The sequence below is a fragment of the Homo sapiens genome, chromosome 2 (assembly GCF_000001405.40).
Source record: "Homo sapiens chromosome 2, GRCh38.p14 Primary Assembly".
Lineage (NCBI taxonomy): Eukaryota > Metazoa > Chordata > Mammalia > Primates > Hominidae > Homo > Homo sapiens.
The window spans coordinates 239084122-239107885 of NC_000002.12; the positions used below are offsets into that span (position 1 = coordinate 239084122).

Below are 23764 nucleotides of genomic sequence, written 5' to 3' on the forward strand. Positions count from 1 at the left end.
CTGAGCTGCGCTGGCCAAGGCGGCTCTGCTTACCCAGTCCACGATGAGGATCTTGCTCACGCTCAACCTCTGCTGCAGAAGCTTGGCTGCCACGGCCACGGAGTTGAAGTAGCAAAAGCCCCTGCGGGAGAGAACTGACGCTGGAGACGAAGCGCAGGTGGGCGGTGGCCAGTTTCTCCACGGCCCGCCAGAGAGCCACTCGGGGTCCACGCAGACCTAAGAGGTCTCTGTGAGTGCAGAGCTCCTGAATACGTCGCAGGGAACCCTCAGTGATGCCGGAGAATCGGTTAACAGACAGACACGTACACACCCCACATGCAGACACACTCACACGCGTGCGCGCGCACACACACACACACACACACACAGCTCCCAAACAAGCCACTGGGGAATCTTAGCCAATGCCATAGGGTCGGCTAACCGACACGGACATGCACACACCCCACACAGACACACACACCACAGACAGAGACACACACACACCCCCCACAGACACACACACCACAGACAGAGACACACGTACACCCCACACAGACACACACACCACAGAGACACACCCTCCCACACAGACACACACACCATGCAACACGCCCTACACACATACATGCCCCACAGATACGCCCATACACCACAGACACACACCCCACACACACTCCACACAGACACACACCCCACACACACCCCACACCCCACAGATAGAGACACACACACCATGCAAACGCCCTACACACATATATGCCCCACAGATACGCCCATACCCACCCCCCCCACGTAGACACACATGCACAGATACACATGAACACCCCATACAGAAACACTCACACACACACAAACCACAGACACATACAAGCACACACACACATATACACATAAGCATATACCTATCACACACATCCACAGTTCCATACTGAGACAGACAGACACACACACACACACACACACACACACACACTCTCCTGCTTGGAGGTCCCCCACGCTCCTCTGGTAGGGAACCCTATTTCACATGTTACCAACATTTCCCTCATCTTCACCTGGAACCCTTCCTCTCAGGAGCTGCCGCCACGCCCCAGGAGACATGGCAGCCGTTCATCTCAGTTGCTTCCTGCTGACCTTCCTATATTCCAATACATAAATTACCTTTAATTTTAGAGAGTCTTACTCAAGAGACCAAGAAAACAAGCTATGAAAGTGATTCAAATAACAACGAAAACCTTCTTGATCTCAAATTCCCTTTGTCCGAATGACCACAGAAACGGAGAAACACTAGTTGTTTTGTTTTCAGAATCCGGGCTGGCATGGGGAAGCCCACACGCCCCAGGACATCCTAGACGCTGAGCTCCTGCAGCGGCTCACGGGGAGCACAGCGAAGAGCTGCAACAAAACACAATTCGTTTGTCTCCTCTGAGGTTTATTATTTGGAATATCCAACAACTCAGGTTCAAATTAGAAAAGAAACTTCAGAGAAATGAAACAAACAGGAAGCCTGGTGCCCAAGTGACTGTTCTGGGATGTGGAGCAAACACGTGGTTTTCAGGTAAAGCTACAAAGATTCCAACAAGCATCCCTCCCTGGCGGTTACAATCTCCTCCCTGTACACGAAGGACACTCTGCTCTAACACGCGGATCTGACTATCTCTCACGTACAATCTCCTCCCTGTACATGAAGGAGACTCTGCTCTAACACGCGGATCTGACTATCTCTCACGTACAATCTCCTCCCTGTACACGAAGGAGACTCTGCTCTAACATGCGGATCTGACTATCTCTCACGTACAGTCTCCTCCCTGTACACGAAGGAGACTCTGCTCTAACACGCGGATCTGACTATCTCGCACGTACAGTCTCTTCCCTGTACACGAAGGAGACTCTGCTCTAACACGCGGATCTGACTATCTCTCACGTACAGTCTCCTCCCTGCACATGAAGGAGACTCTGCTCTAACACGCGGATCTGACTATCTCGCACGTAGTCTCTTCCCTGTACACGAAGGAGACTCTGCTCTAACACGCGGATCTGACTATCTCGCACGTACAGTCTCTTCCCTGTACACGAAGGAGACTCTGCTCTAACACGCGGATCTGACTATCTCTCACGTACAGTCTCCTCCCTGCACATGAAGGAGACTCTGCTCTAACACGCGGATCTGACTATCTCGCACGTAGTCTCTTCCCTGTACACGAAGGAGACTCTGCTCTAACACGCGGATCTGACTATCTCGCACGTACAGTCTCCTCCCTGTACATGAAGGAGAATCTGCTCTAACACGCGGATCTGACTATCTCTCACGTACAGTCTCCTCCCCGTACATGAAGGAGAATCTGCTCTAACACGCGGATCTGACTGTCTCTCACGTACAATCTCTTCCCTGCACACGAAGGAGACTCTGCTCTAACATGTGGATCTGACTATCTCTCACGTACAGTCTCCTCCCTGTACGTGAAGGAGATTCTGCTCTAACACGCGGATCTGACTATCTCTCACGTCCTGCCGGCCCCTCCGTGGACGCCTGACTTCCCAGGGGTGACAGGGAGGCCCTTTCCCGGGCCCCTGCGGTTCTGTCTTGTTCTGACTGCTTCCTGGCCACAGCCTGATAGTGAACTTGTATCTGCACTTGTTCTTGCGTTGCCATCTGACAAACTGCTGCTCCAACTCTCCAAGGCAGAGCCCTATGCCACCTCCTCCTCACCGAAGCTGGCAAGATCAGGCACGCCTTCTCCATCTCCAGAGCATGGGGAGACGCTCTTTCTAGCACCACCCCTCCTCACTAGAGCGGCTACCGTCCCAGGAGACAGCATGCTCTTTGACGGGATAGATCATTCATTCACCACCCAGGCTGCAAGGCACTCCACAGACAGCTGCGGGTCTGTCCTGCCACTGGCTCTGGACACACAGGGATGGATCCGGGAGGACCCACACCCCACACTCGCCACCCTGCCCAGATCCTCAGCTGTATGGACCGTCGGCAGTCTCTGAAAGACCCGAAACAGCATCAGGATAGCTGCCTGCATGGACGTGGCTCTGTGGCTTGCTGCGTCAGTACCAGGCATTCGGCAGGCAGCTAAAAGGCCATGCGCAAAATGACCTGAGTCCTCTAGACAAGCAAGTGCTGCAGTGACTCACTTGAGGGTGAGTGGTGTTTCCTCTCCCAAGTGTTGACAACTACTCAACAACCAGAGGCTTCTCTGGACTAACCTCCACAGACCCTTTCCCATCCTTTCCTCTGATCTGTCTCCGTCATAACCGAGCAGTGATGCTCGCAGACTTTGGCATCTGCACTCCACACCCAGGAGCTGGAGCCAAGCCGGCATGCGGCACATCCTGGGTGGCCAGCAAACAGCAGCCCAGCTCCCCGCAGTCACTCACACACCCACCCAGCCCTAAGGGAGGGAAGGAAGACCTGGGTTCCCCTGCTGTGCGGGGCTGCGGCGTGTACTCACATGGGCGTGCTCTCCTCCGCATGGTGTCCAGGGGGGCGGACCACAGCAAAGCCATTCTGCAGGTGACACCAGACAGCCAGGAGAGAGCAACAAAAGACACACTTTGTAGCCACGGGAAAATGGTTGCACACTCAACTTTTAGCAGAGTTGGGCTACACAGGAGGACAGTTTCTTGCTGCACCCTGGCCACAGTGATGGGGACAGGATGCAGGGCCAGCTGGGAGCCTTTCCGGGAAGCCTGGGCCCTTCTCCTAAAGAGGTCTGGGGGCTACTAATGGTTCCCCCGAAACGCAGTCACTAGGATAACAGGTGGGTGCCTGCCCACTCTCAGAACTGTCGGTGAGGCGTGGTGCCCTTGGCTCAGGGGTCGGGGTGATGTGGAAAGGATGTGCTCACTCCCCGTCGGCTCGGGACCAGGACCCGCTAGGTGGCCACTGGAGGAAGATGAAGCAGAAGGGGCCCCACTCAAGGACTTGGCCGCGGGGCAGAGACGTTGTGTCCCAGCTTGGCCTTCACGTGACTGCCTCTGTCCTTACTGCAGTTCAGCTCTCAGGATGGCGGGCAAGTGGGCAGCCCACGAAACAGCTCCTCTCACACTGGGCAGAAACGCTGTCCTCTGCCCCATCACTTCTGCGTCAAAAATCCATCTGCAAACCACTCTGTAGTTGCTGCCATAAAAATGGATTCCAGTCCTCTCCTGGTCTCACCAGCAACAGGACACTGTGTGGTCAAGGTCTGTAATGAAGCCTCAAAAAAAGTGCCGGCCAACCATGAGTGACAATGCCATGGACGGGGTGAGCCGGACGCCGCAGGGACCAGGCTCAGGAAGGGGCGAGGGCAGCCCATGAGGTGGCGGCAAACGCTCTCAAGAGGCCCTGGCCTCCCTGCGTTTCTGCACTCAGTGCTTCCGAGTGTAGGCTGCAGACCCCTCGGTCCCGACCCCTGCTGAGGGTCTGTAGTCCACGTAGTCCTGAGGCTCTATGTACTCTTTTCACTGCCCTGACACCTGCGCCGATGGTGCTGAAGCACCGGAGGGTAGACGGCGGGCAGGGAACAGCACCAGGGCGTGTGTGTGTGTGTGAGCAGCTTCTCTTAACAATGTGCTCGATGAAGCAGTATTCAGACATTTTAGTAGATCTCCGCCCTCAAACACGTCCTTTTAACATCCCGAGTAAAGAGACGGGAAGGAAGCGTGAGAAACTGTGAGCTTTCCAGTGAAAATTACAAGTTTGGAACACACGGCTCTGCCCCTGTGAGCCTGCTGGCTCTCTCACTACTTATAAGACTTCTGGTGAGATGGGGGTGATATTAATGGTTTCAAAAATTAATGACTTTTTTGATACTGTATGGGTCAGAATATGGAAGATCCATGTAACTCCGTGAAGCTAAGTTTCCAAATGACCAACGCACGGTGCTACCAATCACCCATGAACGAAGGATCGATTTGATCTCCAAGAAGGGCTAATGGTTCAGTTAAACAAAACGGAGGGGGAGGAGGCCACGATTTGATTTCAGATCCACACTGCAGCTAATTTTCAAGACACTACCACTTGCTGAATTTTTGGTATACTGTCAAAGAATACCCACAATTAGAATACCTCTGAAAAGTCTATTAAAATCCTGCTCCCATTTCCAATTACGTATCTGTGTGGGGCCAGGATTCCTTCATGTACTTCAACATGTCCCAAGAATGACGCCGGGCAGGTGTGAGAACCAGCTGCTGTCCACAGGCAAGACATTAGTGCTATTTTTATTTTTTTATTACTTTTTAATTTTTTAGTTTTTTTTGAGACGGAGTCTCACTCTGTCACCCAGGCTGGAGTGCAATGGCGTGACTCGGCTCGCCGCAACCTCCACCTCCCAGGTTCAAGCGATTCGCCAGCCTCAGCCTCCCAAGTAGCTGGGATTATAGGCATGCGCCACCATGCCCAGCTAATTTTTGTATTTCAGTAGAGAAGGAGTTTCGCCAAGTTAGCCAAGCTGCTCTTGAACTCCTGACCTCAGGTGATCCCCCTGCCTTGGCCTCCCAAAGTGCTGGGATTACAGGTGTGAGCCACTGTGCCCGGTCGCTATTTTTAAATTAATAAACATTTTGAAAATTTCTCAGTTGTAATCTCTAATAGAGTCAATATTGTGGATATAACTCATGTAAACAGAAGCTCTTTGGAGCTTTTTTTTTTTTTTTAAGAGTATAAATTTTTAAGAGTATAAAGGGTTCTTAAGACCCAAATCATTGAGAATCTCTGTACTATGCACATACCCTATCACAAATGTGGGCAATGTCTCTTTGATTCAATAGCGAGGCTGTGCTGACAGAGTGGGGTCCACGCCTCCCCATCACAGCCGCCTCCCAGCCTGATGAGAGGGAGACGGAGTGGGCGGCCCCTCCCCACACTGGGAATCTATGGCAGGCCTCCTGGAGGGCCACCACTGTCCAGGCCCCGACTGACCTTCAGCTCCCCTGTGGCCACCTTGAAGACCAGCTCTACCACGCAGCCCACAGCCAGGCGGGCTGCCCCCGCCGAGTGCACCTCGTTCCATATGGTGTCACTGTCCACCTGTGGAAACAACACCCCACAGTGAGGTCACCCTCCCAGGCCACCGTCATCACCAGCCCTGGCTGGGCAGAGCAGCTCAGGTTCCGTGGGCTCTGCTTCTGAAACCCCAGGGCCTACCAGAGCCAGGGCAGCTGCAGCCCACGTTCAGCCTTCAATCTTTTTAAGACATGCCAAAAAGTTTAAACAGGAAAATACAAGAGAATTTACCAGAAGAAAGATGCATGTGTCCTGACCTGTTCTGAGGCATCCTCCTTTCCCTCAATTGCTTCAGTATACTTCCATCTAAAAGTAATGATGTCAAGGTGATCTATTTCCTTTTTTTTTTTTTTTTTTTTAACTGGAACTGTAGTTAAGAGAGTTATTCAGCTTGAGTATCTCTGATCTGAGAATCTGAAATCCGAAATACTACAAAAGCATTTTGTAGGCTGAGGCGGGAAGATCACTTGAGCCCAGGAGGTCGAGGCCGCAGTGAGCCATGAATGCACCTCTGCACTCCAGTCTGGGTAACACAGTGAGGCTCTGTCTCCAAAAAGGAAAAAAAAAAAACTGGAAACTTTTTGAGCGCTTACGTGACGCTCAAAGGAAATGCACTCTGGAGCATTCTGGATTTCAGATTTTTGGATTAGGGATGCTGAACTGGTAAGTACAATGCAAATATTCCAAAATCTGAAAAACACCAAACTCTGAAATACTTCTGGCCCCAAGCATTTCGGATAAGGGATAGTCGACCTGTCAAATAATTAGCAGCAAAATGAAATGTAAGGGGAATCACGACCAGTCTCTTCCAATAGTGACTTTCTCCTGTGCCGAGTTTAACTGGAAGCTCCACATGTTGACCAGCGTAGCTAAGCGGGACTGGCCGTGTGGGCGGGTGAGGAGAGCTGCCCTGCTCTGCCCTAGTGACGGTACACGGCTCTGCCTGGACACCAGCAAGTCAGCCCGCTGGCCTTTTCCACTTCAGACAGAAAACGTGTTTCACACAAACACGTCAACAATCCCCGATTGTGTGTTGGCTCATTTATTTATTTAGGCACACCAGAAATTTCTTACAGCCCTGGCTCAATTCAGGAGGAAAGTCGACAGACAGAGACCTGGACAGCCAGTTCTGCACAGAGCAGTCTCCTATGGGAGTCTGGCCAGGGGAGGGAGGTGTTAAGATGAAATACACAGCCCTTGGGCTGGCCCCAGGGAACCTGAGCATCTGTCCCCAAGTGTGTCCCTTGCCTGCAAGCTGCTGTGGGGTAACACACCGGGGACTTGGGGGTGCCCAGCCCGGTGGAGGTCTTAGAAGCCGTGTCATAGGTTGCTCAGCTTCCACACGGTGCTGACCAGGGCGATTGCAGGTCCATTGCAGGACGCCTCCTTCTCAAACTGAGCCCCTCTGAGCGCCGAGTGCTTTGGGGCTCCTAAGCAGGAGCCAGGCGTGTCCACCCTGCCTCTCCCTTCCCCAGACCAGGCCCTCGAGGGCTCCTGTCCACCACCAGGCAGACTTGCCACTTGATAGACACCGCTCATTATGTGGGGAGGGAGGATTTCTTTCCAGGCGGTCTTGAAGCTTCATCATCAAAGCAAGGTGAGTTAAAATGCATTTTCAAGGGGCTGAAGACATTTCCTGAAGTGTATTCGGTGATGGTTTTCTTTTCAAAAAATTAGCCAGATGTGGGCCGGGCGCAGTGGCTCATGCCTGTAATCCCAGCACTTTGGGAGGCTGAGGTGGGCGGATCACAAGGTCAGGAGATCGAGACCATCCTGGCTAACACGGTGAAACCCCGTCTCTACTAAAAATACAAAAAAAAAAAAAAAAATTAGCCAGGTGCCGTGGTGGGCGCCTGTAGTCCCAGCTACACGGGAGGCTAGGGCAGGAGAATGGCGTGAACCCGGGAGGCGGAGCTTGCAGTGAGCCGAGATCGCGCCACTGCACTCCAGCCTGGGCGACAGAGCCAGACTCCGTCTCAAAAACAAACAAACAAAAATTAGCCAGATGTGGTGGCCTGGGCCTGTAGTCCCCACAACTCAGGACGCTGAGGCGGGAAGATCACTTGAGCCCAGGAGGTCGAGGCTGCAGTTAGCCATGAATGCACCGCTGCACTCCAGTCTGGGTAACAGACTGAAGCTCTGTCTCCAAAGAGGAAAAAAAAAAAAAAAAAAATCCAAGGTGACATCGCAGGAGTGAGAGCTGGGCAGGGCAAGATTCTGCCACCTGCTCTGTGTCAGCCAGCAGAGGCGGGGTCCCAGACAGGCCAGGCCCCGAGGCTGCCCCTGTGGGGACAGCACCCAGAGATGGTTTCTCTCCAACATACAATGAACTAGGCTTTGGGATTAGGCCAACACTGCAGGGAGCGGAGGGTGTACTACACCCGTGTTCTGAAGGGTCTTCTGGGGATTCTGCACACCTGGGGTGCCAAGGAGCTGCTCGGTCTACCAGGTGCCTGTGTCTGTGCCCCCTCCCATGGGACCCTGGGGTTCAGAAGCTTCTGGAGTCTTGCACAGAGTGAAGGACAAAGCCCCAGCCAAACTGCAGGACCCCAGTCCCCAGAGAACTCAAGAGACCCTCCTTCGCCTGCTTCAGGACCACGGCTCCAGCTCCCAGGGACCAGCCTGGAGCTCCAGGCCTCTTGCAGGGAGCCTGGCTCAGGCGTGCAGCGCCACCACTGAGCAATAGCCTGGCTCAGGGCAGGCGGCCGCAACTGCTAATGCAGGAAGGAGCAAATGGCTCACTCTGTGTTTCGTTTCTTTTTTTTTTTGTTTTCTTTTCCTTTCTTTCTCTCTCTCTCGCTTCTCTCCTCTCCTTTTCTCTCTCTTTCGCAATAAAGACAGGAAAAAGGCGGGGGGAAACATGGAGAAAGCTTCCCACGGATAATCCCATGGAGTCTAAAAGGGACATGCCGAGGGCTGGCAGGGCTGGGAGGCCTTTGGGAAGCTCAGAGGAGCCGCGGGGAGCCGGGCGTACGAGAGCAGGCCAGGACTCCGCTGGGCGAGGCCGAGCAGGGACACCAGCTCCTCACCCAGTTGAAACTTGCGGTCACTGGAGAGGAGCAACGCAGGAGCTGATCTGGTTTGAAAAAGAGGTCAAAGCACTTTACAGCTCCCATTTCCCAGCGCCGAGGAGTGGTGAGTTTTCCGTGTTCCAAGCCCCACTGTTCTGCCTCCGGGAGAGTTTGCAGCTGCTTTCGGGGAAGGTGGCTGGCTCTGCTCACCTGCTCTGCCCTCCCTGACAAGAGCACCTGCTGTGTGCCCACACTTCGGCTCCCGAGGTCTACTTTGCTCCTCCTGACACCCCAGGAGGCTGGCCCCTCCTGGCTCTGGAGGAGACATGAGGCTCAGGAGAGCTGCATCTGTGCCAGCGACAGCAGGTGCATCCCACACCAGGGCAGGGGTCTGCACCGGCCTCCTGTCTGTCTTCTTCCTTTTGGAAAACAATGGGAAGAAAACACATCCTGCCGGTGGCTGTACCTCAGGAAGCCCCACGGCCTGCACTGTTCCCTGCCCATGCCAACAGGCTACCCTCTCTGCCCGCGTCCACGTGGGGAGCTTTTCCATCAGCATCTGCACACCCAGACGTGAGGGTGCAGCTCTCATCTGCTGTGCCTCAGATCTGGATTTAACACTTGGGAGGGGCTGCTGGGCTCACCCCCTCAGCTCTGAGTCTGCACTTAGCTTTCATTTGCAAATGATAAATTCTGCCTTGCACAGGCGTGCTGGCTGCAGGGCAGTGCAAATTCAATCCTTTTCAAGTCTGGCCAAAAACATGCCCCAAATTAAGAGATTGCAGCCTATTTACAATACAAAATAAAATAACTCTAGGAGGGCTTGGTGGTGGTATGAATAAATGCCGTTTATTCTCTTTCTGACGGGATAATTTTCAAAGCAGTGATTTTTATAAAAACTCAGGAAGAAAACAATTTTGTTTCATTTCCATAACAGAATCCAGACCTTGAGCTTCACCCTGCGATCAGTGATTACACACACACTGCACCGTTTCGGCTGCAGCGGCTCCTGCTGTCCACCGGCTCCCGTCCTCCCTGCCTGTAACCGTCTGTGGTGATTCGCGGCACTGCAGGACCATGATGGCCCGGATCTGCTCGGACGCTCCGCCTCAGCTTCTCATGGCCGCCCTCGCTATTGCCACCCCTGCCCAGGCTGCATCAAGGAGGTCAGGGGCCAGGGGAGAACTCTTTTGTTATTGAGAAGTTTGATTGCAAGACCTGACCCTTCCTGTGTGGACGGATGGGCAGATGCCCAGACTGGAAAGTCCTTGTGAACTTATGCGCCCAGGCCAGGTCCATATCATCAGCTCGTAGAAGCCAGCACAGCCCAGTGATTCATATGCCCAGGCCAGGTCCATATCATCAGTTCGTAGAAGCTGGCACAGACCAGTGATTCATATGCCCAGGCCAGGTCCATATCATCAGCTCACAGAAGCCAGCACAGCCCAGCGAGTAGCCCTACAGACTCCACGTGGCCCATGAGTATCACGGTCACTGCACTGGGAGCCCCACCTGTAGCTTCGGGTGGAAACTAGGTACAGAATACAGAAGCACGCATCCTACCCGCACCATACTCGTGGCCTGATGTGAGCAGATTACTGCCACAGACTTCGAAGGGGATGAGATGCTGGCTGCATACAGGATCCTGTTTCTTAAAGCGAGAGCCACTGCACCCCAGAGCCCCAGCCACCTGCGCCAGACAACCTTCCCCAGAGAAAGGTGCCCGAGTCGGCGATCAAAACGCTCTCGGCTCACACGGCCTTTGAAGCCGCACATGGGCAGCCCCTGCGTATGGAAAACACCTGGCAGCAATTATTCACTTTGAGGGAAGCAAGGCTGCGATTTCTGTGACCACTGGGACTCGAGAAGAAACAGGACATTATTTACACATTAAAGGAACACTTACCCCAACACCACCGCAAGGGAGCCGGACGAACACGGAGGCGAGCGAGCCTGTGGGGGGGAGGGAGACGGTCAGAGAGGCCAAGGGCACGCGGCCAAGGTGCTCGACAGGCCCTGGGCGCACTCCGGGGTCTTCAGTGGCACTTGGGCATTTGTGGGACAACGAGGGGCCACTGCTCCCCCTTGTGACACCCTGTGGCCCTGCTGCAGGGTCAGTGTCTGGCCCTTAGAGGTGCCTTGACTCCTGTGAGGGCTGAGCTGGGTCACAGACCCTGGTGGGGACACCTCAAATTGTTGTGGCATCAGCCTGTCAGGGGCCCAGGAGAGGCACCAAGCCACTGGGGAGCACGAGGTACCCCTGGTGGGCGTCTGCCTGCAGCCCGTGCCCCTGAGGGGCTGTATCTAACAGCAAATCCTGCTCCAGGACCCCGAGCCTGGCTCCTCAGTGAGCTCCTAGGGCTTGTCTAGCAGCCCCCTCCCATGGCAAACAAGGGGCAAGTCCCGGGATTAAACATGGGTCCTGAGGCCTCTTAGACCCTGAGATCCTCGGGAATGTATGCAGCGACAGCCCCTCCCTGCGACACAGGCGGAGCGTGTACAGCTGACTGAGGGCTCCAAGGACGCTGCAGCTGCACGCCAGGCCTCCTCCCATGGAAATCGGGGCCCTCGAAACCCCCACCCCACTGCTCTGGCACCCGCGCCTGCTCCGGCAGTGAAAGTGCTCCCAGGACAGGGGTGCTGTCTTTTTCCTGTTTGACCCAGTGCTGGCTGAATGCACGTCACCAGCTTAAAACCCATCTGTGGAGGACAAGAGACCCCCACTAACCAGGGGCGGGACCTACCATTCCTAGCGGCTGCCTGGGCCCCAATCCCTCACTCTCCGCAGCCCCCGGCCCCTTCCTGGGCTGGAGCTGGAGTGACATCTCACATGCTCCAGGGAGACTGGCTTGATGTAACAGGCTCCTTTATCCAACGTGGGACCCCACTTTCTGGCCTCAGCTGGGCTGTACCCCCCGCTGTGGGGCTCCTCTCCCATTCTCAGCCTGCTCCAGAACAGTAGCCTCCACTCTGTGTGCTCTGGTCCACGCTCCTAGGGCTGGCTGCCGGGGGCCATAGGAAGGAGTTGGCCATAGGTCCATTAGGGCCTGTCTGCCTCTTGCCTGGAGGGCTTGCCGGCCCGGTTAGCACGAGAGGAACCCTTCCTCAGGGAACAGCGTGCCTGGCTGGGAAGAGCAACTGCGATGGCCCCAAGCTGCAGGAGAGTGGCTGGCACAGACGAGAAGCTAAACAGAGGCCTGCTTGCCTTAGCCCACGGATGCCCGCACCCCCTACGGACGCCCACACCCCACCGACAGATGCCTGCAACCCCCCCCGACACCTGCAACCTCCCCACAGACGCCTGCACCATCACCCCACCACGGACGACTGCACCCCCATCACCCCACCACGGATGACTGCACCCTCCCCATGGATGCCCGCCCCCCGCCCCGCCCCCATGGACACCCACACCCCCCATGGACGCCAGTACCCCCCACGGATGCCCACGCCCCCCACAGACGCCTACACCCCCCACGAACACCTGCACCCCCCACGAACACCTGCACCCCCCACGGATGCCAGCACCTCCCATGGATGCCAGCATCCCCCACTGATGCCCACCCCCCCCATGGACGCCAGCACCCCCCACAGACACCCACCCCACCCCACGGACACCAGCACCCCCCACGGACATCCACACGGACACCAGCACCCCCCACAGACACCCACATGTCCCACAGACAGCCACAGCCAGGCCCTAGTGTGAGGCCCGATGCACAGAGCTGACTCAGGCTCTTCTCACTCTGTGGAGGTCACAGATCTGCATCAAGGCCGGAGGCTTGTAGAATGGCCACGTCCACGGCCCGGGGCTGGGGAGCTGCCATGCCAACAGGGAGCAGGGCAGGAGGCAGGAGGCAGGGGGCAGCAGCTGCAGCCACTTTCAGAAGGGGCTCAGGGGCTCCCAGGCCCCCCAGGCAAAGGGAGGATAGGCCCGGCCCCCATCTGCTAGGAGGGCCCGGCCAGCTGAGGGGCGCAGGCGCCATGCAGATGCTGTGACGTTTTCCAGACAAAGGCCTACGTGCTCGGAGGAGCCAGCCTGTGTCGGAGGGAGCCCGCGCTCCTCTCCACCTGGCCTGGCTCCAAGGGCAGGGTCTGTGCCCGCCTTGTCCCTCCTCCCTGCCTGGGCTGTACAAGGCATTGAGCCAGCAGGGGCTTCAGTCGGCCCTGGCTCTCCCTGCAGCGCTCAGCAGGCATGCCTCGGCCTCTGGGTCCTGGCCCTCACGCCCACTGAGGGCAGCAGCACCAGCATGCCTCCCCTTCCTGGGCGCTGTCCTGGGCCTACTTCCTCCGTGTCCATGGCTCACGGACCCGCCACTGCCTGGAGTCGTGGCTCCTGACCCTGGTTCCCGTGTCCACATGTCAGCGTGGCACATGGGACAACATCAGCTAACACTTCTCGCCTGAACCTCATGGTGGTCAGCCCTCATCCCCGCAGGCATGTTGGCCCTGCTCTCCTCTGTGCCTTGGTGACAGCAAGTAGTGGACGTGGGGCTGACCATGCGGGGAAGCGGCCTGCACGCCGGACCCCTTTGGGAGGTGCTGGGGCTGGGCAGGAGCTGGCGGGATGTGGTGGGCAAGAGAGCTAGTGCGCAGGTGGAACGAGACTGAAAAAGGAGGAGGGCGTGGGTGCCAAGGTGCCAAGCCACCTGCTGTCCTGCTTGCTGCCCGTCGTCTGTAGTGGGGTCACCTAATGCCAACCTCACCACAGTGGGCGGGTGCTGCCTTGGAAGGGCGGTCATGGCCTTGGTGAGTGGCTGAGTAGCTGGGGCTGGGAGTGGCTCCGTGGGCCACGTCCTTCCATCACTGACTACTCCAACGCACGGGAAAGACACTGCCAGAAACTAGGGAGCTCGTTTTCCAAATAATGCACGCGCTCAGCTATATGAATTCACAGTAGACACACGTGTCCAGGTATCTGCAAGAGACTGAATCTCTTTGAAATCATAGCCAACCATGTCTACATTAAAACCACAAGTCATCCGACTGTTTTGAGTTTGCTCATTATCTAGCAAAGACCAAAACAACAAAGAAAAAGTACACGATTATGCATCCAAATGCATGCGTATAGGAATGGAGTTATAGGCAGAGTTTTGGTGACAGTTGTGAGGAGCCCAGCGGCCTCCTGTGGTTTGGAGCCACAATCACCAAGCCCAGGCCACGAAACGTTCCAGCCTGGTGACAGGGCCTGAAGCTCTGCAAACGACCAGCCTTACTACTTGTCTGTTTGCCGCGGGCTGGCAGACAGGCGTTCTGTGCCTGGGGCAGGGAAGGCTCGGCTCCAGCCATCCTCTCGCTGCTGCTCCTGCTCCCTGGCTGGGAGGAGGCCCTCGCTGTGCCAAGTCATTTTCCTGCCGCACCCTACCCTGAGCATCACCGGCACCCACTCGCCAGGGGCCCAGCTCTGCCCGGATGCAGCACCCTGCCAGCTGACATGAGCAGATGAGCCACGTGACTTTCAGTGACGCCTAGGGCAGCGGCCAGCCTGCCTCAGGCCCACGAGCCAATTCAGCCACGCCTTATGTGTGGCATCTCACCACATCAGAAAGGAAATATGAAGGCCCTTGCACACGGCTTAGCGGCTTGTGGATTCCATTAAAAGAGGAAAGAAAAAAAATCACACAGTAGTGTTTAAACACCTCATTAGGGTTATGTTCACAAAACTCAAGATAATCATCAGCTATTACCATGTCTGAAATACTTAGACTGATGATAATGAAGTTTCTGGGTTAGGACAATTGTCGGAAATTCAAAAATCGATCTTGAGTTGTGAGAAGGTAATGGGAGAGGCATCCTCACAGGAATGTGAACAGATTTTAAAGCACAAAGCTTTCCAGGAAAGAACAAGAAATAGAATGATCAACCTTCCTGTAAACAAAAGAAACTGACTAGAATGGTTGCCTTCGGAGAACAGGAATGGTGCAAAGGGATGCTGCAGAGACACTTCAATAAAGAAACCAAAAACAAGAAAGGGGTCTTCCTTTTTGATCATCTCTCTTAAACTTTGTTTGAAACTAGCTTAGAAACCTAAGCAAGGTGGTGGAGCTAAGCCTGCCTTCATCCTTCTGCTGGTGGAGCTGGTCCTGCCTCCATCCTCCGCCCACTGAATTCCACAGGTTTGAAAGACTGAAGGTGGTAGGGGATGGACCAACAGCCGGTCCTTTGAAAATGGATGAAGGTGTCAGGAGCAGCCGCCATTCTGAAAGGCGTGGAGGTGGGCGCACAGAACTGCGTGTGTGCAGGACACGGCCTGATGAGCTGATGCTTTGAGGCTGCTCAGCAACTCCCACGCCTGCTGAAGCCCCTGCTGTGGCAGCCCCGGTGACATCGAGGCAAAGATCTTGTCCCCTCATGGGGCCCACAGGCAGCCCCTCCCATGCTGGAGAACCCGGCCAGAAGCTGAGGTGTTACATGGGGAGGCAGTGACGTTTCCTGGTAAGGACTGGAGAATCCTGAGGGACAGCACACTCTAGCCTCAGTGCCTCGATGCATGGCCTTTGTCCACCCAGCTCCCGGACAGAAAGCCGCCTGCCCTCTCTGCCGCCCTTGCCCTCTAGGGCTCCCTTCCCCAGCCCCAGCGGTGCTCCCCGCCTCCGCTAGGTACTCCACAATCCATGCGCCATCTTCTCCCCAAGGAGCGCGTGCCCCCTTCCTAGGGGTAGCTGCATCAGCTTCTCCCTGCAGGGCGATCTCAGACTTCCTGGCCGCCACCCTCTCACAGACCACCCAGTAGAGGCCGGCCTCCATGATGGGCCTCCCAATGTTCTTTTGCCCTGGGACAGCGTGTCCTCCGGTGGCTTCCTGAGGAAGAACAGCTGGAGGGTGAAAGCTCTGGCCCTTGCATGCCTGGAATGCCTCTGTGCCACCTTCCTACTCACCCGGCAGTTTGGCGGGACACAAACTTCAGGAGGGCAATGAGGCGCCCTTAAAACTGGCATGGCCGCAGGCCCCATGGAGTCTGCAGGTGCCCTGGCTCTCACCTGTCCCTGCATTCTGAGGCTCTGCTGTTTCTCCCTAAGAGGGTCTTTCTTACCCCTGGTGGGTCCCTGCAGCCCAGAGACTCTGCCTTTGGCCTGGGGCCTTCTGAATTCCAGACACCTCCTCCTGGCCTCTGCCTTCCCTGGGAACTCCTGCTGTTTGGACCCTGCACACTGCAGTGAGCTTTGGCCTTCTTCTCCATCATCTCACTTCCCAGTTTCCCAGAGCTGTCACGTTTTGCTCCAGTTTCTGGGAGATGACATCACCGTATCTTCCAGTCTGAGGAGGATTTTCTTTTTCTGCGGTCAGGTGTTTAATTTTTGTCTTCTCTGAACGTTCTGTGCTTTCCCCTTTTCCACTGAACTTGTCCACGTTACGTGGATGTGGCATCCTCTCTGAGGGTGCTAATGGCAGCTGGGTTAGTGCCTCACACTGTCTGCCCCCAGCCTCCTTCCCCTGTGTGGCTCCAGCTCCAGGTCCCTGTCCAGCCGTTCCTCGGGCCCTGGGTCCTCCTTGGTTGTCCGCTCCTAAGGGGGAAGTGCCAACGGCTGGGTGGAAGCTCTGGGCCCACAGGGGGTGATTAGCCGTGAGTGCCAGCATAAGGGATCTCAGGGGCTATTTGTTGGGAACCCCTGATGTCAGCTTCTTTGGGGCTGGTCAAATCCACAGAGGGGTCTCCTGTCTGCTTGGACGGTAAAGGTCAGCATGCTGGCAGCCCAGTGGGGAGGGGTAGGGGCTTGGCATCCATGCCCTCATCTAGAGCAGCTGTCTCCAGTCCAGGAAGCCCCTGTCTTCCACCGTCCCTTCCAGAGGGACGGTGGAAGGGTGCTGTACCCCTTCTAGAGCAGCAGCAGGCGAAGCCGCTGTGTAGGGAGTCGGGGCCCAGAGGCCTTTCCACCAGCTTTGGCCCAGGCCCTTGACTGAGTGCCTCCCTGAGTCCATAGCCTCTGCAGTTGCTGAGCCTGAGCTGTCGGAGTCTGTGGGGTGGGTCGGTGGCCCTTGTCCCCGGCACTAGCTCAGGATCCACCTCGTGAACCTGCTCAGCCACACCCCGGCCCACCTGCTTCCTACTGCTGTTCACTCCCTTCTCACTTTCCCCAAACTTGAGGCTTCTGTCCTTTTAGAAGCCTCCATACCACAGGGCAGGGGGGACTCCGGAAGCAGCGTGACCGCCACCCCAGGCCAGAGCCCATGCGTGTCCTCACAGCCCTACTGGCTCCATGGTCTGTGACCCCGTCTGTACCTACAGGGCATCCAGTACAGAAGGTGCCCTCGGCGAGTGGATGAAGGCGTGAGCGAGTGAGTGAGTGAACGCATGAAGGACTAGGAGTGCAGGTCTCTGTGAGGCTGAGTCTGCCGGGCACAGGCCTGGCACGGAGGACACCTCCTGCAACGTGTGCCCTGCCAAATGCAGTCAACGAGCCAGGCACGGCCCACCCTCTCCTTGCCCCTGCAACCCCTGCGTTCATGGTTCCTAGTTCTCCCTCTCTGCCTTCCTAGGGTCCTGCTCAGGGAAGAGCCAATATGCTCTTCCCAGGGCAAAGGCACAGAAGATGGGGAAGAAAACCAGTGGGCAGTGACTGTCCTGGTTCAGGGTGGCTGGGAGGCAGGGAAAGACGTTATCGAGGAACAAAGGGAGCCCTGGGATCCCCCATCCCCAGGTCCGTGTTCTGTGCCCTGGGATCCCCTGGCCCTCGGTCTGGGTTCTGTGCCCTGGAAGCCCCCGACCCTGGGTCTGGGTTCTGTGTCCTGGGAGCCCCCGGCCCCGGGTCCGGGTTCTGTGCCCTGGACACCCCCGGCCCCGGGTCTGGGTTCTGTGCCCTGGGAGCCCCCGGCCCCGGGTCTGTGTTCTGTGCCCTGGACGCTCCCCGCCCAGGGTCTGGGTTCTGTGTCCTGGGAGCCCCCAGCCCTGGGTCCACGTTCTGTGCCCTGGAAGCCCCCGGCCCCGGGTCCACGTTCTGTGCCCTGGAAGCCCCCGGCCCCGGGTCCACGTTCTGTGCCCTGGAAGCCCCCGGCCCGGGGTCCACGTTCTGTGCCCTGGAAGCCCCCGGCCCGGGGTCTGGGTTCTGCGCCCTGGAAGCCCCCGGCCCCACGTCTGGGTTCTGTGGCCTGGGAACACTGGAAGCCCCATGGAGCTGGCTGGGAGTTCACCTGCCTCTGCTGAAGATCCCTGTGGAAAGCCTCTCACCAGCTCCCCGGGCAGAGGATGCCCATTAGAAAGTTCTCTCCATGAGGCTAAAATTCCCCTCCACCACCTGTGCAGGTGCTTTCAGCCAGAGCCAAGACACCAGCAGCCTTTCACCCCTAAGCAGTGGACACTCCCTAGGCCTCCTCCTGGTCTTGCTCTGATGGGCCTTAAAGCGGAGCTCAAAACAACTTCAGGCTCCCTGCAGGGCAGGGCGGGCAGCATGCTGGCTGTGTTCCTAATCAGCCTCTCAAACCTAAACTCTGATTCAAGATGCTTCTAAACCAACGGTTCTCAGCCCAGTTTTTACACAAACACACCTGCTACCTGGCACGTTCATCAACAACCAGTGGCTTGTGAACAGAGGGTGAAAGGTTCCCTTTCAGGCCCTTTACCTTATAACCTGGCAGGCGACACCCACAGGTGCCCCAGACACAAGGGGTTGAGAGCTGGAAACACAACCTCAGGGGACTTCAAACCCAATATGGGAGGAAAGGAAGGTCCTGAAATACCTAGAAGTTTCTTACTGTCCAGTTTCTGCCGGTTGAGGGGGTTCGTGCCATACAGGAGGGTGTGGGCTTCCGAGTGCACCGTCTGTAGCTCCTCCAGGGTGGCCTTGCGTCCGCGGATGCACTGTGGGGACAGGCGAGAGGACACTCACACGTTCTGCAGAAGCTGCTGCTTCAGCTCCACAGACAGAAACTCCAACTGAAACCATTGCCCAAAAGGAAACTTAATTTGATACAAAAACAAGCATGTTATTTGGTTACTGCAAAAGAAGAAGCAACATCACCCAACGTGATATTTTAAAATATTTAAGAAATATTTTAGAGGGCTTACACTTAATTATAGCTTTGAAAAAACACTTTAAAAGATAATTCCAGCCTTCAATGCATTACCCTTCACTGTCGCACGAATGACTTGGCATCAAATTATTACTTTGCTTTCCAGCTGCCAGGGTCTGGTCTTAAAATAGAGGTGAGCTGCTGAGCTCCCTCACGTTCAAGGGAAACCCCAGCCGCGCTCCCGGAGTCTCTGAGCCCCAGGATGAAGCAGCCTTCCTTGGACCGCCCGGGGCCACAGCTGCCAGGGTCTGGCATCTGTCCTGGATGGCTAGCTGGCATCCGGCTGCGTCTCTCTGAGGTTTGGAAATTCTTCAGATTGAGATCCCTGGGCTAATTCAGATTTTCTCCAGAAATTCACAGGAAAATTAGTGTTCTTTAGTTGAGCTACATTTATTTAGCCTTTTAAAGGGGACGATGGCTTTGGACATGAGATTCGAGTTAACATTTCACATGGAAATGGCTCTCAGAGGGTTAGGCCACCACAGGATGAGTCAGACGCCACTCAGGTGGCCCCGGTTGTGGCTGTTACCTGCTTCCCCCAGGCCTGAGCAGGATCTGCTCTCTCCCTCCCGACTGCAGCCCTGCCCCAGCATCCGCTGAGCTCCTGCAGGCCTCGGTGTCCACCCTGTATGTGAGACCTGTGGTGGGCGAAGCTCGAGGGCTCTCTATGCCAGCCCAGCACCTGGGGCTCCTCTCAGACCACCAGGAGCCGTAGCACACAGCCTTCCTGCAGGACGCATTGCACCTGGGGGTCCTGTCCATGCAGGGTGGAGGAAGAAGGGGCGGAGCCAAGAACTCAGTCCCCGCCCACAGGGGAGAGACCTCCAGAGGGCAGGTGCGCTGGGCAGGGACGGATGCTCTGCGGGTTCTCTTCTCATGAACAACAATTCCACAAAACCGGGCTTCCTCTATGAAGGTCTCTTGTTTAACAAAGAAAAGATGTGACACGGCTTCCGGTGGTAAAAAACGACTCTATGGTCCCATCCACATAACCTAGTGCTGCTTCTACTTTGGGGACATAAGTCACATGTCCCTGGAAAGCCAGGCAGGAGGGACGTACTCTCTGGGTAGGGGTCAGGGTGCAGTTGGGGCCCTGGGCGGCTGCGGGGGCTTCTAATTTATTTTATTTTATTTTTTTTGAAACGGAGTTTCGCTCGTTGCCCAGGCTGGAGTGCAATGGCGCAATCTTGGCTCACTGTAACCTCCATCTCCCGGGTTCAAGTGATTCTCCTGCCTCAGCCTCCTGAGTAGCTGGGATTATAGGTGCCCACCATCACACCTGGCTAATTTTTGTATTTTTATCAGACATGGAGTTTTGCCATGTTGTTCCAGGCTGGTCTTGAACTCCTGACCTCATGTGATCCACCCGCCACGGCCTCCCAAAGTGCTGGTATTACAGGAGTGAGCCACCGCACCTGGCCAGGGCTTCTCATTTCTAATGACTTCAGGAAGCCCACATGTGTGTACAGGCACAGGCAGCTGTGGCCAGGGCCAAGTTCCCTCTGGACAGACGGGCCTAGGCAGCCCACGCTTGGGAAGGTCCCCGTAGGGGACCACAGGCTGTGCCCTGCGGTGCCAAGAGGCAGGTCATGTAGTGTGGACTTTGGGTGAAAGAACGGCAGGGTAGCCATGTGTGTCCTCCCCACTCAAAAGCGACCCACTGGATAAGAGACTGAATTGCAGAAAGAGAGATCTGACGTTAGACCACAAATGAAATTCACAAATTAAAGTTGATGTTAGAATAAGGCAAAGAAGAAAAGTAGAAAAACCCTCTCCTTACAAACACATGAAATGGACACAGAAAAGACACAGGATCAAAGCCCCAAAAGCTCTGCGACACCGCGACGGCTGGGGCTGCAGGTGCGCGACACCGCAAGGGCTCGGGCTGTGCGTGCGGGACACCGCGATGGCTCAGGCTGTAGCGTGCAATATTGTGACGGCTCAGACTGAGCACCTGAGAGGCTTTTCCAGAGCCACTCTGGGAGCGGTGGTGATGGTGGCCCCTTCCTGCTTTCTTGGGAGGCTGACCTCGTTATTTCTGTCTCCCTTTAATTCCTAGGATAAGACAGAAGGAGTCTTTGCTCCTTACAGCAAACACAGGCTTGGGGCAGGGTGCAAATCCCAGTGGTGGCCCTGGTCTCTGTGGCATCTGACTTCCAGCCCACCCACTTCTCCTCTCCTTCCTGGACACCGTGCCTGGAGGCAGGACAAACCAAGCTGGGCAAGCAAATTGGCCAGGAGCTGTTCTGGCTCCCGGGAAGCCTCTGCAGGAGGGCGGGGCCCGCACACACACATGGCTATACTCAGAGGACCCCCGACTGCTCAGAACGTGTGAGGCAGCTTCCCAAGGCCTGCTCTGGAGTGAGGCAGGGAGCGAGACAGCTGCACTGGGAGCCACGTCTTGCTGGGCCGGCCTGCCAGTATCGACAGGGTCCCAAGCTTGCAGAAAGTATCTCCCAGCCCACTCTCATCCTTCCTCACCACGCGAAGCCAACTCAGCAGTGTGAGGGGAGGGCCTCACCCCCCAGGCCTCCAGGCAGTCGTCTACCCAGAGAAGGGGTGCTGACTCTGAGGCCCTGCCCTCGGGCCTGGGCTTCGGTCTTGCTGTGGCCTCCAAGTGGTCCGCGGACTGGGGAAGTCACAGCCCCATCCACCCCATCTTCTCCTATCGGGTACCCACTCTAACCATGCCCCGTACCCATGGCCCCTCTGCTCGGCCATCTCAGGAGGCCAGTGACCCCTGGCAGGCTGGCACTGGAAGTCTGGTGGGTGACGTCACGTCCCCCTGGGCTGAGTTAGCACACTGCTCGCTCTGAACCTGGAGGGGCACCCGCACTGGAGAGCTGCCCCACGTGTGGGAGCAAGGCACTGCTGTCCAGGGAGTATGGCCTCCACCGCCTCTGTGGCTGTCTCCCAGCCACCTGTCTTTCTCCAGCTCTCCTCTCCCTGAGATCCTGCCAGGCTCAGGTCTTGTCCCACAGCCCCAACACCTGGGGACCCTCTGCCAGCCCCTGGCCCAGTCGTGGCTGGCACCTTCACCCATGGTGCTGAGGACAGGCAGAGGAGCCGAGGGCGGGCGGAGGAGCTGAGGGCGGGCGGAGGAGCGGGCTGTTTCTTCCAGGGTCTTTGCTTTCTCACTCCTCCCTCCCTTGCTTGCATTTGCTTTGCTTTTCTGGCTGAGAGACCCTCTCCCAATCCCCTGGCCTCAGCGGAACCTCCTGGGGGTGGGGGCACATGTAGGGGAGGGACAAGGAAGCAGGTTATGGAGCTCTGGAAGCCTCAGGAGGCCTTGGGCAGTCCCCAGAAGGGGCAGCAGGACAGCTGTCTGGTCCTGTGGAGGGAAGGGACGTGGGGAAGGAGTTTCCTGCAGCCAGTGTCTGCTGGGCAATGCTGCCCTCCAGTGGCACAGCCGTCCTGACCAGATCCCTGAAGCAGGTGCCAAGAGCCTCTACAGTGGCTCCTCCCCGCCTTCCTCCTCCCTCCTCCCAGAGGGCACTGCAGGAGAGGGTCCTGGGCCTGACTTTTAGAGAATTCCCCCCTGAAAATTATGTATCACCAATAAAACTGGTAAAGGAAACGGGGGGTAAGATGAGGCACAGATTAAAAGTTCACAAATATCCCAGCTTCTAAAGGAGGGCAGGCGAACCTGCAGGGCGGGACCCTGCAGAAACTAAGCCAGGAGACCAGAGGCCCTCCGTGCCACGCCAGCTCCACGTGCTCACTCATCTCTGCCACAGCCACTTGGGCCCTGGGCTGTCGGGTGTCCAGGACTGTTGGAGGGGTGGGTGTGGATGTTCCTGTCCACCCTGTGCGCTATCTGTAGGATGGTGGGATTCCTGGTGTGGGGAGTGGACATAGCAGGTCTCTACTGGTGGGCCCTGGCATGGGTGGGGCCTTGTGCGACCCTGCACAGTGTTGCCAGCCCCTCTCTACAGACAAAGAAATGGAAATTTGTCCAAGGTCACCAGCTCCCAGACGGGAGTCTCTTCTCTTCCTGCCCTCGCTATCAGCAGGGCCTGGCCACACCCTCCTCCCTGTCAAGAGCTCAAGATCCCCTGTGACAGCTGCCTCCAGGGTGAAGAGCACCAGCTGGGACAGCCTCACCAAAGTGCGGCCCCCGTCCTGCCCTCAGGTGTTAATCGGCTGATCCTTCTTGCCTCCTTGGGCCTGGGAGTCCACTGCAGCCAGATTCGGGGCAGGGCTCTGGTTCCTATCAGGAGGCGGGGCCGGGCCCTCCTTGTATGAGAACAAGTGAGGCCGCTGCCATCGCCTGGCGGCCAGGGAAACTGAGGCACAGCCAGAGCTGCAGCATCCCCGAAGCCTCCTCGTGTGACTCAGCCACATAAGGGAGCTGAATTCAAACCAGGCCAGGGCCCTGCCTGCAGCTCCATTCCCTTCACGACCCACTGCCTCGCCAGCACCTTAACTCTGAGGAGGGCCCCAAGGGCCTGAGGTCTCCCTGTGTTCTCGAAGAAGCTTTTCAAAATCTTAAAAAAAGAGAAAATTATTTTAACAAAAAGCCAACAGGCCTGATCTGAGATATAATCGGATCTCCCCGTGGCTCCTTCCTGGCAGCCCTGGGGGAGCATGGTGGGAACTGGTTTCCTTGGGGAAGTGACCCGGAGGCAGAAAGCAACAGCCCTGGACCTTGAGAAGAGCCTGCTAGGTGGGAGGTGGGAGCGAAACATCAGGAAAGGTCACAGACAGAGGCAGCAGCTTCCTGCAGGGAGGGTACGGGACTCCAGGGAGACAGCCCCGGGCTTCTCAGCAGATAGCT

The 23764-nt window shown here is 56.5% G+C and overlaps 1 protein-coding gene and 1 non-coding gene across 47 annotated transcripts in view; both read right to left on the bottom strand.

The window, feature by feature from the left end:
- The window catches only part of HDAC4 (histone deacetylase 4), a 353482-nt gene that overhangs the window by 35954 nt on the left and 293764 nt on the right, over window positions 1-23764 (bottom strand). For 31 of the 46 annotated variants that reach the window (XM_047446489.1, XM_047446486.1, NM_001378417.1 and 28 more), the window contains 5 exons: window positions 18655-18775; window positions 10889-10935; window positions 5888-5995; window positions 3438-3493; window positions 34-121 (listed from right to left, as the gene is read on the bottom strand). In XM_047446489.1, the coding sequence (XP_047302445.1) occupies window positions 34-121; window positions 3438-3493; window positions 5888-5995; window positions 10889-10935; window positions 18655-18775 (420 nt within the window). Of the gene's footprint in view, window positions 1-33; window positions 122-3437; window positions 3494-5887; window positions 5996-9809; window positions 10936-18654; window positions 18776-23764 lie in introns of those variants that run through there. The other 15 variants (XM_047446483.1, XM_047446491.1, XM_047446496.1 and 12 more) reach the window with 3 other exon arrangements.
- Window positions 1706-1805, bottom strand: MIR4441 (microRNA 4441). Its single transcript, NR_039643.1, has one exon. It is a non-coding gene; the product is annotated as a microRNA 4441 (primary transcript).